The sequence below is a fragment of the Homo sapiens genome, chromosome 2 (genome assembly GCF_000001405.40).
Source record: "Homo sapiens chromosome 2, GRCh38.p14 Primary Assembly".
NCBI lineage: Eukaryota > Metazoa > Chordata > Mammalia > Primates > Hominidae > Homo > Homo sapiens.
In genome coordinates, this window is record NC_000002.12 from 33471421 (window position 1) to 33488752 (window position 17332).

At 42.3% G+C, this 17332-nt stretch overlaps 1 protein-coding gene across 13 annotated transcripts in view, besides 4 other annotated features; it reads left to right on the plus strand.

Annotated features, from left to right (window-relative positions):
- RASGRP3 (RAS guanyl releasing protein 3) overlaps positions 1-17332 on the plus strand; it is a 128384-nt gene that overhangs the window by 35073 nt on the left and 75979 nt on the right. For 4 of the 13 annotated variants that reach the window (NM_001139488.2, NM_001349981.2, NM_001349976.2 and 1 more), the window contains exon 1: positions 5229-5287. The exons of 6 other annotated variants lie outside the window; for them this stretch is intronic. The gene's annotated coding sequence lies outside the window, so the exon portion shown is untranslated. Of the gene's footprint in view, positions 1-5228; positions 5288-9762; positions 9885-17332 lie in introns of those variants that run through there. 3 more of the 13 variants (NM_001349977.2, NM_001349980.2, NM_001349975.2) reach the window with 2 other exon arrangements.
- Positions 4565-4884: an enhancer, noted in NCBI's record as "active region_15562". NCBI's record gives its function as "activates an Ori minimal core promoter by ATAC-STARR-seq in GM12878 lymphoblastoid cells {active_cell/tissue: GM12878}" and the evidence as "EXISTENCE:reporter gene assay evidence [ECO:0000049][PMID:35858748]".
- Positions 8345-8514: an enhancer, noted in NCBI's record as "active region_15563". NCBI's record gives its function as "activates an Ori minimal core promoter by ATAC-STARR-seq in GM12878 lymphoblastoid cells {active_cell/tissue: GM12878}" and the evidence as "EXISTENCE:reporter gene assay evidence [ECO:0000049][PMID:35858748]".
- Positions 13319-13408: a silencer, noted in NCBI's record as "silent region_11347". NCBI's record gives its function as "represses an Ori minimal core promoter by ATAC-STARR-seq in GM12878 lymphoblastoid cells {active_cell/tissue: GM12878}" and the evidence as "EXISTENCE:reporter gene assay evidence [ECO:0000049][PMID:35858748]".
- Positions 17180-17229: an enhancer, noted in NCBI's record as "active region_15564". NCBI's record gives its function as "activates an Ori minimal core promoter by ATAC-STARR-seq in GM12878 lymphoblastoid cells {active_cell/tissue: GM12878}" and the evidence as "EXISTENCE:reporter gene assay evidence [ECO:0000049][PMID:35858748]".

Sequence of the window (17332 nt, forward strand, 5' to 3'; positions counted from 1 at the left end):
ATCCTGCCACCTTGGCCTCCCAAAGCACTGGGGTTACAGGGGTGAGCCACTATTCCCAGCCTTATTTTTTACATCTTTAGGGCAACCTATGTTTACGTATGAAGTTAGTCTGTGGTTTTCTTTATTATGCTTTATCAGTTTTTTTTTTTAAGACAGGGTATTATGTTAGCTTTCTGTTACTTTTGTCCACTTGAACACTTCATATACCATGGGAGTTAATTCTGCTTGAAGCTCAGTTAGAACTTGATTGTGTAAGTAATCTGAACTAAGAGCTTTTTTTGGAAATAATTCCTTATTAACTTTTACATTTTTCCATGGTTACTGATCTGTTGTTTTTTGACTTCTTCCTGGGTCAGTTTGCTTCTAATTATTATTTTGGCTATGTCTCCCAATATTTGATATGTGGTATTCTCATCACTGAAACCTTCTAAGCATTCATTCTGTAATTGTGTTTTTAATTTATTCTCCAATCAATGATTTTTTTTTTTAAGAACTCTAAAGTTTCCCCAAGAGCGTGGGGTCTTTTTGACTTACACTTTTGTAATTAATGTATAGTTTTATTACAGTGTGATCACAGAATATGGCCAATTTCTTTTGGAAAGAAATTACTTACAATTTTTTTTTGGTAGCCTAATATAAAATCAAGTTTTGCAAACTTTTCTTATATTTTTTTCTTAATGGGCTAGACAGAAGATCCTTCTCTTTAATTATTCATTTATTCATCGAGGATTGTTTCCACCATGTGTCTCATACATGCCAGGCATTGTATTAGGCATTGCAGGATATAAAATAAGTCATAAGCTTTGTCTTAGATTGGTAAAGTTTGGATGGAACACAGACACATGTAGACCTAATTATAATACAGAAAGAAATGCAACCGCAGCGAAATGTACAAAAGCAGCAGGCAGCTAGAGTGGGAGTGAAGCCCTGAAGGTTCTGGGAATACAAAGTTGCCTACGATGGCCCGGAGGGGCTTTCAGTCCTAGCGTGTAAAACATACATTGAGATCAGAGACAGGCTTTTTGGAGGCAAGGTGATTAATTAGGAAATCACCGCAGACCTTCAGTAATAAATCAGAACATATGAGGGGCGGTAAGAGTGCAAGATGAGAAGAGAGGATTTTCACACCTAAGGGGCAGATAGCGGAAGAGAAGCCCAGACCTGAGGATGAAGGAGGTAGTAGTAAAATTTTATAGACGCCATGGGAGAGCTTTTCAAGGGGTGGTTGGTCAGTTGGGACAAATAGAGCCAAAAGGTCAAGTAAGATGGCTCACGCCTGTAATCCCAGCACTTTGGGAGGCTGAGGCGGGCAGATCACGAGGTCAGGTGTTCGGGACCATCCTGGCCAACATGGTGAAACCCCGTCTCTACTAAAAACATGAAAATTGCCGGGCGCGGTGGGTCACGCCTATAATCCCAGCACTTTGGTGACAGAGCAAGACTCCGTCTCAAAAAAAAAAAAAAAAAAGCAAAAAGTGTCGGTTGCCTTTGGTCTTTGGGGACTTGGAAAGAGCAGTTTCAGTGAAGTGAGGGAAAAAAAGCCAAGCCACAAGTAGGTTGAGAGTAAATGGGATGTGAGATGGTGAAGACAAGTATTTTTTCAGGAGTTTAGTTGTGGAGGGAATGCAGGAGTTAGGGCAGTAATTAAAAGAGCAAGTCTGGCTGGGGGCAGTGGCTCACGCCTGTAATCCCAGCACTTTGGGAGGCCAAGGTGGGCAGATCATGAGGTCAGGAGATGGAGACCATCCTGGCTAACATGGTGAAACCCCATGTTACTACTAAAAATACATGTCTCTACTAAAAATACAAAAAATTAGCTGGGCGTGGTGGCGGGTGCCTATAGTCCCAGCTACTCAGGAGGCTGAGGCAGGAGAATGGCTTGAACCTGGGAGACGGAGCTTGCAGTGAGCCGAGATCGCGCCACCACACTCCAGCCTGGGCAACACAGTGAGACTCCGTCTCAAAAAAAAAAGCAAAAAATCAGAAAGACTGTTGTTAGGATATAAAGACAATGTGAGAACGTGAGCATGTTTAGCTAATGAGCGCACGCTGAGAGCAAGAGAAGGCGTGGTTGTTGTCGAGAGTCCTAAGCAGGTGGGAGACACAGGGTGAGACACAAAGCCGAGGTAGGAGGTGGCCTCTTGACAGGAAGAGGGCACCTCTTCTTGAGTCGAAGACAATGCTTGGAACTGGTAGGGAGTGTGGGCAGAAAGATGGGATCTCCCCCATTTCTTTGCAAGGCTGTGTTATTGTAGAACCTTTAGTCACACTCCTGGACTCTGACTGAAAGGGTCCTGGGTCTTGGCCTCTGTGTTAACAGTTTGCTTCATAGGGAGGATTGAGGATCCATCCCTTCCTCTCCTGGCTATAGAACTAGAAAAGAACCTCTACACCAGTGGTCCCTAATGTATTTGGCACCAGGGACCAGTTTCATGGAAGACAATTTTTCCATGGACCGGGAATGAGGGGATGGAGATGATTTCAGGATGAAACTGTTCCACCTCAGATCATCAGGCATTAGACTCTCATAAGGAGCATGCAGTGTAGATCCCTCGCGTGCACAGTTCACAATAGTGTTCATGCTCCTATGGGAATCTAATGCCACAGCTGATCTGACAGGAGGCAGAGCTCAGATGGTCATGCTCCCTTGACTGCTGCTCACCTCCTGCTGTGCAGCCTGGCCTCTAACAGACCATGGACAGGTACCTGTCCATGGCATGGGGGCTGGGGACTCCTGCTTTACACTTATGATGTAGTTTGGATGTTGTGCCCACCCAAATCTCATGTTGAGATGTAATTTCCAGTGTTGGAGGTGGAGCCTGGTGGGAAGTGATTGGATCTTAGGGGCAGATTTCTCATTAATGGTTTGGTACCATCCTGTTAGTGCTGTTCTCATGATAGTGAGTGAGTTCTTTTATTTATTTGTTTATTTTAAGACAGAGTCTCACTCTGTTGCCCAGGCTGGAGTGCAGTGCAGTGGTGCGGTCTTGATCTTGGCTCACTGCAACCTCTGCCTCCCAGGTTCAAGCACACCACCACGCCCGGCTAATTTTTGTATTTTTAGTAGAGACAGGGTTTTGCCATGTTGGCCAGGCTGGTCTCAAACTCCTGACCTCAGGTGATTCACCCTCCTCAGCCTCCCAAAGTGCTGGGATTATAGGCATGAGCCACAACACCCAGCTGATAGTGAGTTCTGGCAAGCGCTGGTCATTTAGAAGTGCCCCCTGTCTGTCTTGCTGCTGCTCTGGCCATGTGACTCATCTGCTCCCACTTTGCCTTCCACCATGATTGTAAGTTTCACGAGGCCTCCCCAGAAGCCGAACAGATGCCAGTATCATGCTTCCTCCATAGCCTGCAGAACCATGAACCAATTAAACCTCTTTTCTTTATAAATTACCCAGTCTCAAGTATTTATAGCAATGCAAGAATGGACTAATACAACTTAACTTTCCTGAGGCTGTTGTCGCTGTTGGGCATTGAAGAGTTTCTAGAAGTCCCTGTTTCTTTATGTGGCATGCAATGGATCATCAGAATAATTAACCCAGTCAATGGTAAACAAAGTGATGGATGGATGCCATCAGATCACAAAAGTTTCTATTACTGTAAATACAAGGGGGTAAGTAAATCAAAATAATGTTTCAAATCCTCAGTAGGCCTCTTTTTCTGTTTCTAATTGAAGATTGTCACATCAACACATAAACAAAAATGCCTGTGAGGGAAATGTGTATTTTATGCATTGCATTTTTATATCTGAAGTTTATTTCTATTACTAACTTGAAATGCTGAGGAAGGGATTTGTTTTGGTGCTTACAAAATTCTCCCATTTGCTCTTCGGACTCTCACAAGTTGACAACAAATTACTGCCCTGATAGTATGGTGAGACTGAGGGTTTTTTGTCTTTTTCTCTTATTCTAGAAAACACTGTATCCTCTATATGGAGGGAAATTTCTGGTTTGATTAACACTGTAAATAATTATGAGACAAAGCCTAAATATAAAAGATTACTCACACAGGCTCTTACACTGAGTAAGATATTATGTGTTAAAAATCAGGGTTAATAGTTTAACAGGCACATTATGGTTCAGAAATCCCCTGGGGGACTTCAACCATCTTTTCTGGATGTTCACTTTGCCAAATAGGCTGCCTCTATGTCATATCTCTACCTGAAGGGCAGGCTCAGACACTGATTCGGGGAAGTGTCACCCTTACTATACCAAGAAGTCAGACATCCAAGGTCAGACACTACGTAAAGTCAGATACTTCAAGGGCTTTCCTTGGAAGGGAGGATGAAAAGGGAAGGGTGGGAACATCAGCTCAGGTGAGACATATGAATTCAACAAAACATCAGGGATGGTTTGCCACGTTTGCGAGCAGCACAGAAAACGGCAGTTTGCTCCAAGTTCCCAGCACACCAAAGGGGGCAGTAGTGCGTCTGTAAAGCGCGTTGTCAACTTGGTGATAATTTCTGTTTGCATTCACACTCGCCGGCTGATAATCTCAGCTGCTCGATGCAATTCAACAGATAACAATGCGGAAGTTTGGTCTAAAGCTACCTGAAATCACTTCCAAGAGCTCTTCAGATAAAGCTGCCTTTGATAGTCTTCATTAACCCCTCCCATATTTGCCCCTCAGCGTCCCTTGGCTTAGCAGCCCCGGCCTTTGAAGTCCAACCTAAGCATTCTTAGATGGTGAGTGAGGGTCTGCCTTCCCCAGCACCAGCCACCTAGTCAGGCTTGTGGCTCGTCTAACAAACTGGAGCCTGAGATTCTGAGAAAACGAAACCAAACAGTTGTACTCCGGGGTTAACACAGAGCAACTTCCACCTGCTGTGCGAGTTGGTGATCCTCTCTCTTGCCGTTCGAGAGCCCCAGTGAAACTTGAGTGAGATGAGAGAGCATGGAGCCTGCCAGTCTCCCCCTCTGCGCACACACACACGCAAACACATTTAACTTTCCACTTGCAGTGACCTGCCCTTCAGTGTGACTTATCAGCTGTTTGGCTTTTGTCACTAAAGGAAAACAAATTGTGGAATATCCCGCTCTGCATGCTCATGAGATGGCTGAGCCAACTCAGGGGTTATGAGGTGGTTTGCGAGTGAGGAGAAGAATGATCTTCAGTTTCTGACCTCCTGGCACGGTGGCGGGCGGTATTTATCAGGAGGTACATGTGACTGGTTAAGACTCAGAGCCCCAGCTTGAAGGAAACAGCTGCTCTCGGCGTGCTCCGGCACTTGGCAGCTGGACAGGCAGAGTGCTGATGTGAAAAATACCACGACAAAACCACCCTAGTAAGTAACTGGAGAACTTTCCTCTCTCTCTCTCTCTTTCATTCCCTCTCCGTGTGTGTGTGTGTGTGTGTGTGTGTGTGTGTGTGTGTTGCAAGCCACCAACAACTTTTGATTTTGATTTTGGTTTCCCTCTGGCACGATAGAAGGAGATATTTTATTTGTACCTGTTAACAGCCATTGGTGTTTTCACAGCCCTTTTTTAGAACCTGTTATTTTCGGCAACGTGTCTTGTAACTTTGAGGATGAATGGGGCATATGGCTTCATTCCTGTCTAGGAAACAGAAAGTTTGTTTCCCAGTGTTCAAGATTTTTCTAGTCCATGGTGTTTAGGTTCAAAGTCAAGTTCAGGTTATGAAGTAGAGACTTCATTGAAGTGAGTTGATGACTAGATTTGATTTTAATCTGTTTCTACCACTGAAACCTGAAAACGTAGTTGTTTAAAGTAACTTGTGAATTTATTGTATGGCTGATTTGATTTTTCCTATTCAATTTTTGAGAATATCTCATTTAACTGTGTAGAACTGTCTGCAATATAGAAGACTGACAAAATAATATTTAGATTCACATTAGAAATCATATTTAGATTTCTTGCATGGTTTCCAACTAATTGAAAGCTGTATTTTATAGCGACTTTTTTTCCCCCCAACAAGCTAATTCACCTTCATTACTTTAAAATGTTCAGTTGCCCCTGGTCTTCCTTCACCTTCATTACTTTAAAATGTTCGGTTGCCGCTGGTCTTCCTTATTTTAGTGTTTTCGTGATACTCAGGCTGTTTTTTCCTTGTTTATGACCTGACTGGGAAAGTGCTGCCTGCAGCTGATGATTAACTCTGGGAGGCCTGGCATCCAAATTACGGAGAGAACCGGCTCCTTCTCAGGTTCATTCAGCAGTAATGGTGCTTGCGCTTGGGCGAGCAGCAAAGCAGGCACCATGCTGGAACTGAGCTGTTGTTCGGTGACTTTTGTCCTTCCTTGGTAGTCACCAGACAGAATGCTTCAGAGGAAAGGCAAAAGGGGAAAAGAGAGAGGGCAGAGCTCTAAACTGATGACGTAAAGCTCTGAAAGTGACAGGTCTTTGAATCAGAGGCTGCAGGGAGATAACCAAACAGGTTCCTGTTTCTGGAGATCGCGTGGATCTTGAGGAGGGTGGGCAGAGAGGGGCTGTTTTTATTTGAAGTCTCACCAAATAGTTGTTTTGCTTGTGATAAGCCTAGGACAACCTGGAGTGCGCTTGTTTCCTCGTGTGACAAATGGATTCTCATACAGGCTCAAGCTATACGGTTTTCTTTCGCCCTCTGCCCCCTGCCATGAGGGAACACTGTTCTCTCCCCACCCTTACCATCCTTTGTTGTTTGTGGAGAATGGATTAAAAATGACCCAGGGCACGGCACTTCTGCGATCGAGTTTCCCTCAGCACAGTGGGTCTTGAGTACCGCACCAACCAATGTTCTCTGATGGAAGCAGTTTCGGATGCCCTGTCTAAACAAATGGCTAGTCTGACATTGAGAAGTTCTCCACCTTCTTTTCCTTCAAATGTAGAAGAATCCACAAAATGTAGAGTGGCCAATGAGGAAAAATAGTCCCAACTTCTCTGTTCCTCGGTATGGCATTTGTGTGAGGTCCTTGGGTCAGCCCGCGGCCATGTGGTCTGTGACTTCCCTGTCTGACTGCTGGGGGAGGGGGTTCCTCCTGAGTCATTCTTTAGGGAGTTTGTTCCTGGTATAGTTTCAGATTTTCCACAGGTTGATAGTGGAAGAGAACCCTCTGGTGAAATTGTGTCTCCGGAATCATCGAGCCTCCCATAATAAAATGGAATGTCTAAATGGGAGCAGTTGAATTATCCAACTGCTGTATTTTTGAGAGCCAACAGGCTCCTTTGAAAAACCCATGCCTTTTCAAAATATTAATAGCAAAATAATAAAAAATAATGATTTTACTTGCAGATAGTACATCCATTGACTCAAAGACTTTTTGACCTGGATAGGAATGATAGAATGTGCGATTTAACTCTTTCGTATCAAAGATGAGGAAACTGTAGCAAATTTATCGGAGTTACGGTGCAGAGCCAGAAGAGAGAGCTCAAGGCTTCCATCATAATTTCAACGCTAATAACAATCCCTTACTTTTATTGTGCACTTACTCTGCCAAATGATGCGCTAAACAAGTGTATTTATTTTCATAGTCTCCTCACAATAACTCTATGTGTTACATATTATTATTCCAGTTCTATAGATAGGAAACTGAGGTTCTTGACCATACGTAACACAGACAGGAGGGACACCCTTAGTTACTTGACCATATGTAACACAGACAGGAGGGACACCTGGATCTGACTGTAGAACCTGTATACATTAAAAAATAAAAGTGGAATCCCACACATTTAAATGTAAAAACTCACAACATGCAAATGAGAGTATTTCCAGCACAATATGATTACACACACAATGTGTGTTATGCCCTTTTCGAGCTCTCCATGACAGGAAGGGCTAGGTTTCCCCCTGTGACAGTCCAAGCCCAAGCTCTCTCTATAGGATCGCTGGCTGGTGGCATGTTTTTCTCTTTGAAAATAGTTCAGTGACGGTCTTGATGTTGGTAAGAACAGCAACCGGGAACTTTGTTATTAACCTCCAGCACACGGCTCCCATGCCCCTTCTGGCCTTTCCCTCCAGTTTTCCTGTCACTCCTTTCCTTTGGAGGACAGCCACTCCACCCATGCCCCACCCCAAATAGCTGGCTTAGTGTTGATAAAGCTATTATCAGACCCATCCCCTTTGCTCAGCCTGGAAGGTTGGTTGTCCGAGTAGGTTGTTGATGAATAGAAACCATGCACTCTGCCACTCTGCGCTGTTTTTTTGAGCTGTGGGTGTAAGGGGTGGGTCACGGGGCAGGGGACTAGCTGGCAGTGGTGAGGGAGGAGAGGTATGCTTTTCTTCACTGCCTGCACCTGCCATTTACCCTGAGTCCTACTTCTCCACACACCAGTTGCATATCTAAAGCTCTGACTGTCTCACGGGTGGGCCATAAACCTGTGGATTTTCTGGGTCATCAGACTTGCAGAGCCCTTAAGAAACCTGCCTCCTGAATCCTTTTAAAAATGTCATTTGGCTGTCCACATTCCTCCACTTTAGGTTAAGTGTCAAAATTAGGGTTGGAGATAATGGGAAAGAGCACCAGGTAGTATGTAATCAACAGGGAACCTTTTATTAATCAGGAGGAAAATCAAGCAAGTATGCCATGTGTGGATGTTTCTGAGGAAGTTATCAGTGTTTCTGCAAGGTCGTTCTGGCAAGATTACACATTTTGAAGATCAAGCTATTTATAGCATGAAAGAGGAATTTTTTTTTTTTTTTTTTTTGAGACAGTCTCGCTCTGTCGCCCAGGCTGGAGTGCAGTGGTGAGATCTCGGCTCACTGCAAGCTCCGCCTCCAGGATTCACACCATTCTCCTGCCTCAGCCTCCTGAGTAGCTGGGACTACAGGCGCCCGCCACCATGCCCGGCTAATTTTTTTGTATTTTTAGTAGAGACGGGGTTTCACTGTGTTAGCCAGGATGCTCTCGATCTCCTGACCTGGTGATCCACCCGCCTCGGCCTCCCAAAGTGCTGGGATTACAGGCGTGAGCCACTGCGCCCAGCCCGCATGAAAGAAGAATTTTTAATCTTTAATTCCACCTGCCTGCTGCCTCTAAAACTAAGCCCAACTCAGTAGTAGTCAGTGATGTGGTTTGCTAGACCAAAACCACTGGGAATTGCCTCCAATCCTTGCTAGGAATTGCTCACTTCTGTAGAAATTGGCTTTGTACAGGGGGTGTTATATGGGTACACGTGAAGTGGACTCAGAATCACGACAGAGTCCACAAGTCATACTCTGGAGCTGATTTGAAAGAAAATAAAATGCTTGATTCGTTTTGGGGTCCTTTTACAATAAGGAAACACATTCTGGGATACAATGCCTATTTTGTTTCTTTGTTTTTGCCCAATTGTGTGTTTCAAAGACATCTGCTTCCAAAAAGTTAACTTTCCTGGATCCTCCTTTCCCTTGGTATTGATTGCTCACTTATAGTCCCTGGAGTTAACAGCTCCTGTGTCATGTTTCCACTGCTCTATGGGATTTGAAGTCTTTGGATTTTTTTGCTGTTTCAAGTGATTATTATAGCTTCAGAGTCTGTGGTGTGCAGAGTCGCTGTGCTTTGATCTTTGAGCTCATCTTTGGTATTGAGAAGTCGAACCCCTGCATTTATATATGCCGGCATAAGGCACTTTCTTGTACCTTGCCATAATCCCATGAAAGAGGGAGGGTATCATCACCATTGTTTTCAAAGAGGAAATAGAGGACGAGAGAAAATGAGTGACTTGTCTATGGTCATGGGAAAAGTAACTGTCAGAGCTCAACTATATCTCTTGTCTACTGACTCCAAGTGCCAGGCTTTTTCTGTTGGTTATGCTATCTTTCTTTTGTTTTGTTTTTGTTTTTCAGATGGAGTTTCACTCTGTCGCCCAGGCTGGAGTGCAGTGGCACGATCTCGGCTCACTGCAAGCTCCGCCTCCCGGGTTCACACCATTCTTCTGCCTCAGCCTCCCGAGTAGCTGGGACTACAGGTGCCCACCACCACGCCTGGCTAATTTTTTTGTATTTTTAATAGAGACGGGGTTTCATCATGTTAGCAGGATGGTCTCGATCTCCTGACCTGGTGATCCACCCACCTCGGCCTCCCAAAGTGCTGGGATTACAGGCATGAGCCACTGCGCCTGGCCTAGTTATGCTATCTTTCAAAGAAAGACCAATTTCAACTATTTCATGACCATGCACTTACACAATCTGTGGAATTATCTTTGGTGATAAAAAGTTGTGTAATTTGTATTCTCTTCAGATAGGCAAAGAGTGACTGGATAACCGATTTGCGACATGCCACTCATGATATTTCCAAAGCCTATGGACATTTGACTTTGGAAACAGGGTCAGCTTAGTCTTCAGACACCGTATTTGCTTAGGATAATTTTGTTTGTTTGTTTTTTCAGACAGAGTCCCACTCTGTCACCCAAGCTGGAGTGCAGTGGCACAATCTTGGCTCACTGCAACCTCTGCCTCCCAGGTTCAAGCGATTCTCTTGCCTCAGCCTCCTGAGTAGCTGGGACTACAGGCGTGCACCACCACACCCAGCTAATTTTTGTGTTTTTAGTAGAGATGGGTTTTCACCATGTTGGCCAGGCTGGTCTCGAACTCCTGACCTCAGGTGATCCACCCACCTTGGCTTCCCAAAGTGCTGGGATTATAGGCATGAGCCACTGTGCCTGGCTAGCTTAGGGTAATATTTTTTTTTTTTTTGAGATGGAGTCTCGCTTTGTCGCCCAGGCTGGAGTGCAGTGGCACAATCTCGGCTCACTGCAAGCTCCGCCTCCCAGGTTCATGCCATTCTCCTGCCTCAGCCTCCCGAGTAGCTGGGACTATAGGCGCCCGCCACCATGCCGGGCTAATTTTTTTGTATTTTTAGTAGAGACAGGGTTTCACTGTGTTAGCCAGGATGGTCTCGATTTCCTGACCTCGTGATCTGCCCGCCTGGGCCTCCCAAAGTGCTTGGATTAGAGGCGTGAGCCACCGTGCCGGGCCGCAGCTTAGGGTAATGTTTTTAAAGGAACTTAGTGATCATTTTTCTGTCTTGAAGACTCATATAGTCAAGTTGGAGTTATACCAACTATGGCATGATGTAACGTTACCTTTTAGAGACAATTTGGTTGTTTCCTGAGGTATGAAAACTGCAGTCTGCTCTTCAGTGTGCACGCTCCTTGCCCAACAAAACCATCGGCATTCTTGAAAGTTCTGCCTGAGTATAGCACCTTTATTCCTGTGGAGGTATAGTGCATTCTAACTACCATGAATAGTGTCCACTGTGATCATTTCCCTCTGCACGATTATCTGCCCACAACTGAGAGAGTCTTAACTTGCTAGAATAATGGGGACGCTTCACTATCTGTCAGTTTCCCAATATGGCAATTCAGTTCATTGTATGACAGCATCATCAGAATGTTGCCAAGATCATAAAAATAGCAGTGCATGTTGCCTGATGATTTTACAGTGCATATTGTCATGGCCAGGGCTTAGAGGTAGGGGAAAAACATGTGGACAGCTTTGTGACAAGAGTCTCTCTTATAGTGTTTCTTTCTAAAGTAACTTTTTCTGAGTATGAATGTGAAAGGTAGCCTTCTTTGAATTAAAAAATATTCTGAAAAATGTTTAATGTCTGAGCTGACTTGAGCATTTTTCTTTAGTGATTACTGTAATAATCAGAAATTTCTTCACCTTTCAAGAGGACAAAAGGGAACAACTATAATTAAAAAAAAAAAAGAATATGAAATAGTAAGTTAAAAGTATACCTTCCTGGATTATGGTCTATAGAATGTAGGGTAATAGAAACCTTGATGCCCCTATTGTAAATGGAGAATTCAACTCAATGTATAAATGATTTCTGTGCTTGTAGATATCCCATCTTTTAAGTTTCTATTTGAATAGATTGGTAATTTTATTTCCTGAAGTCTTCTCTATTTGTCAAATGCTGCCTTATCTTTGTTGGTTCAGGTGGATCGATCTCCACCCCACAATAGGTTCTAAGCCCCTTGGAAAGATCATTATGCCGTTGATTTGCTAAAGTATTATAAGTGTTCTCAGAGTTTCAACTCTTAGTATGTTCCAGGTGCAACTTTGACAGAGAACTAGTAACATAGGGAAAAAATATGGAAAAAAATTAAATTCATATCTAATCCCAGAGGCATGTTTTAGCCACTATTTTTTTTTTTTTTTTTTTTGAGACGGATTCTCACTTTGTCACCCAGGCTGGAGTGCAGTGGCACAATCTTAGCTCACTGCCACCTCCATCTCCCGGGTTCAAGTGATTCTCCTGCCTCAGCCTCCTGAGTAGCTGCGACTATAGGCACCTGCCACCATGCCTGGCTAATTTTTGTATTTTTAGGAGAGACGGGGTTTTGCCATGTTGATCAGGCTGGTCTTGAATTCCTGACCTTAAGTGATCCGCCTGCCTCGGCCTCCCAAAGTGCTGGGATTACAGGTGTGAGCCACTGCGCCCGGCCTAGTCACTACTTTTCTGTTGTTGAATTGTTTCAAAATCACAGACAAATAACCACATTTGAGTGTATGTATGCAGTTTTAATTGCTTGTCCTTTTCCCATCTGGGGTGTTTGTACTATGCTAGAGACCTTAATAGTTAATGAATTGACCAAAAGGAGGAGCGACAAGCTATGGAAGAACTCAGACAGAGAGGTGATCAATCTGTGATGGAATCAGACTCCATTAAAAAAAAAATTGGCTTAGTCACTTCTCTGTTTTGTTTTGAGAAAGTAAAAATTTCCCCTCCATCCAGCAATTCAAATTTGGCTGAACCAAGTTTCCTTGGAGTCTTTTACCTAAATTAACTTTGGGAAGATACCAGGAGGAATTCTTTCCTAGGAATGTGCACACATGGGTTGCTTTTCAGAACTCCCTAGACCTGGAATGAAAGGAGTAAAGAAGAAATGTCCTTTTCTGGCCACACTCTAACAACTTGCTTGTGACTATCAGGGATGAATCTCTTCAAGTCTCAAGTTAATATAGATTTCTGGAGCTCATAAACTACTCAAGAATTTTAAACAGTTTTAAATAAGAATTGGGTATAATCTCCATATTTGGTTCTGGAAAACTCATACCATGAGTTCAATTTGACTGAACTTTGAATTCTGCTCAGCTTTCAGTTCTGTTTTTTAAAAGTAGAAAGTATTCCACTTATGCATGGAATGCTTGCCGTTCAAAATCATATGAGTTGACACGATGCTTTAGAGATCATTTTTTTTTTTTATGGTAAGGACAGCACCCAGTCTGAATGGTGGTGCTGGAGATTTCTCTGTAATCCATTTCTCTCCCCAGTCACTCTTGATTCTGAAATTAATCCATCTCTTTCTACTTTCCTTCTCTTCTAGGCATTTAAATTGTGTCTGCTATTGAGAGAGGAAATAAAATAACGCTTATTTTCACATCACTCAGAGGTAGACAGATTAGCACTCTTGCAGAAGAGAAAAATAAATTTTAGAGAAGTCATATACCTTGTAGAAGGTCACAAGCCAGTGAGTAAGAGTCTAGTCCTAGTCTGCCTGGAAACAAAGTAGGTGCCTTTTTCATCCAATCACACTGTCTCTCACTATGTCTGTGTTAAAACTGATGCCCTTGGCCGGGTGCAGTGGCTCACACCTGTAATCCCAGCACTTTGGGAGGCTGAGGCAGGTGGATCACCTGAGGTCGGGAGTTTGAGAACAGCCTGACCAACAAGGAGAAACCCAGTCTCTACTAAAAATACAAAATTAGCCAAGTGTGGTGGTGCATGCCTATAATCCCAACTACTTGGAAGGCTGAGGCAGGAAAATCACTTGAACCCAGGAGGCAGAGGTTGCGATGAGCCTAGATTGCGCCATTGCACTCCAGCCTGGGCAACAAGAGTGAAACTCTGTCTCAAAACAACAACAAAACTCTATGAAAAGGGAAGCCATTCTGTGGAGGTGAGATTCTGCTGTCCTTGTCATGCAATTGACATTATGTCATTGTCATGCCTAATACATACCCATTTCTATTAGAAGGATGCTGTAGGACAAAGAAATATCCCTGGACTCTGGATTTGTGATTGCACCCTGCAGTCTTCTTTTAGCTTCTACCCAGAACACACTCAGTTTTTATTATTGAGGTGTTCTCTCAACTGTGCTGCCCTGCATCTTTGGCAGGGTGCTACTGCAGAGCTAAGCCTTTGGCAACACCCAAAAATCATTATGCTATCTCAGATGGTGACAGGTATGAAAAAGATCTTGACTGTTGGACTAGCTGATTAACTAGCAGTGACAGTTTGCTTTAAAATATATTTGGTTTTTATAAGAAGTGACATAATATTGGCACCAAGAGGGACAATCATATTCATTCCCATGAAATGTTTCTTGGGGCCATGATTACAGATAGATAAAAGGGCCAAGCAGACCTTGAAGCAGAACCAGTGTAAAATATCTCGTGCTATTTTAATTCTTTATGTTTTTAGAAGGAATATTGCTTTCAACCTCTCTTTGGAATTTGCGGGAACTTTGGTTGACTTAAGCCAATGATGGTGGATTTATTATGTAAGAATTGAAGGTTTGTCTTTTTCAGCTACAAAGATGGCTGAGACATGTGTCATGCATAAAATTCTGCAACTATTTGGAACACCATCTCACATCTAACTTGTGGAAGAGAGGCTAATATATTTGGAAAATTGTTTTGAGCTTTAATCGCCAGTTTTAGAAATTTTTCTCAACCAAAACTTCAGGAAGTACAGTCTAGTAGAATACAGGATTTCCATGTAGGTAACAAAAGTAAGGGACAACATCCAGAACATATTTTCATACAAGATGATTCACTTGGTATTTCTTTTCTTTTCTTTTCTTTCTTTCTTTTATTTATTTTTTTTTTTTTTGAGAGAGAGAGAGTCTCACTCTGTCACCTAGTCTGGGGTATAGTGGCACAATCTTGGCTCACTGCTACCTCTGTCTCCTAGTTCAAGCGATTCTCCTGCCTCAGCCTCCTGAGTAACTGGGATTACAGGTGCCCACCACCAAACCCAGCTAATTTTTGTATTTTGTTTTAGTAGAGATGGGGTTTTGCCATATTGGCCAGGCTGGTCTTGAACTCCTGACCTCAAGTGATCTGCCCACCTCGGCCTCCCAAAGTGTTGGGATTACAGCTGTGAGCCACTGCTCCTGGCCTCACTTGGTATTTCTAAACATATGCTTTGTGCTGCTTATTGCACAAACATGAAGAATATAGAATTTATCCCATAGGATTTTACTGTTTAGTTAAATAGACCAATATTTTTAAAAGGTTACAATAATCATCTTACAATACATAAATGTATATTCTGTAAAAGAGAATGTTTCCAAAATATTCTGTGGGAATTCAGAGAAAGGAGATAACTAACTATATCAGGATGAACCAGGGATGATTCCCTTGGGTTGGTGACATTTAAGCTGGGTATAAAAGGATAAAAAGTCATTGTTCAAGAAGAAAAAGACTATATTTGAAACAGTGCATTCCAGGACTAATGTGTAACTTGATAGAGCTGAATCATAGATTACATGTTGGAAGAGGGACGGGAGAAAAGGAGCAAAGATAAGGTGGTTCTGGGTGGTTAACAGTAGTGTTTGCCCTTCTGAAGCATGTCGGTATTTTTGAGAACCGATTTATATATGGCAAATTTCAACCATATATAAAAATAGACAAAATAAATGATAATTAACCCCCATTTATTATCTAACTTTAACAATTTTCAATTCATGGTCATTCTTATTTAATTTATATATCCCTACCGATGTTCTCCCCTTCCCATATTAGCTTTGAAGTAAATCCCAGATATTTCATCATTCCATCCGTAAATATTTTAGTATGTGTTTCTAAAAGATAAGTTCTCTTAAAAAGTTCACAACGTCATTCAGACATGCAAAATAATTAATAATAATTCTTAACTATTATTGTAGTTTGTCAAGTAGAGGGATGACATGAATACATTTGCATTCTGGAAAAAAATTTCTGAAGGCAATAAGGACGACAGATCAGAGAAAGAAAAATACCAAATACCAAAAGAAGACTTCAAAGATAGGTTTGAACAAAGACAATGATAATAGAGAGGGTGGAAGAATTTTCAAAATGTTTAAAAGGTAAAGTTGATAGTTCTTGAGATTAATTGTATTTGGGTGTGCAGGAAAGGAGGGAGTTAAAGAAGTTTTGGAGGTTTTAATTTGAATAATCAGCATATGAATATGCCATTAACCTATATAGGGAAAGGATTCCTTGAAAAGCAGTTAGCCTGGTTCAGCATTATACAGAGACTACAGGAAACAAATCAAAAAATATCTTCCTATTACCCTCAAACAAAAGTTTGAGATTTCCACCTGTAGTCCTAGCTACTTGGAAGGCTGAGGCAGGAGGATTGCTGGAGTCCAGAAGTTTGAAGCCAGTTTGGGCAACATAGTGAGACCTCATCTCCAGAAAACAACAAAACTTTGAGACTCAGAGCATTTGGAATAATTCTGATTGCTGCACCTTAAGAAAGCCATTAATGCCAGCCATGGTGGCTCATGCTTGTAATTCTAGCGCTTTGAGAGGCTGAAGCAGGAGGATCACTTGAGCTCGGGAATTCTGAGACCAGCCTGGGCAACATAGTTGCAGACAGCAGTACACTTCATTCCTAAACATTTCATCACGTATATATGTATATTACCAACTAGAGTTAGTTATTGCAGAATTTATATTTCACACAAGAGAGATTAAACTTATACATTTATTTTCTCAATGGGAAAAGCCGTGATTCAAGAAAGATTAACACAATTCATGGCTGATTCTTACTCGATTATTTATGAAAGCAAGAAACTGAGAACCTCTTGATTTTCAAAAGTTGTTGCCATACAGAGCAGCCACATCCTACTACAAAACAGCCTTTGAGTAACTATCAAGTATTGTCCTGGCAAAGCACGTTTCTCTCAATAAGTGTTAATTGAATTTGAATGTAAAGAAACTGACACCTAGAAATGCAAGCTTTTTGCCAGTAACTGACAGAGCTGGTACTAGAACAAATTACTTCTAATAGTTTCTCACTGAGCATCACTCCTTACCTCTAACAACTCTGAATAGTAATAATGGAACACAGAAGATGCTTTATTAGTAAAAAGGTAATGCTTTCTATATCAAGTCATTGTGAGATTGCTCAAGGCTCAATGGGACCAAGTAGCTGGGCCGTAGGAAAGGAGGTAAAATGCTCTCACAAAAAAAGAACTCTCCATACACAATGGAAAAAAAATGCCTGTGTTCATATTTATCCTCTGACTTCCTCCAGAAGAGGATTAAAGCAGCTGATGACAAAAAGCAAAAATAAAACACAACTGAAAATGATTAACACAGGAATAAAACAAGGGCCAAAATCCACCAGTTAGTCAGGCGGGGAATACATTTGGACCTAGAAAGCTTTAAAATGTTCTCAATTATGTCAAATTCTGAC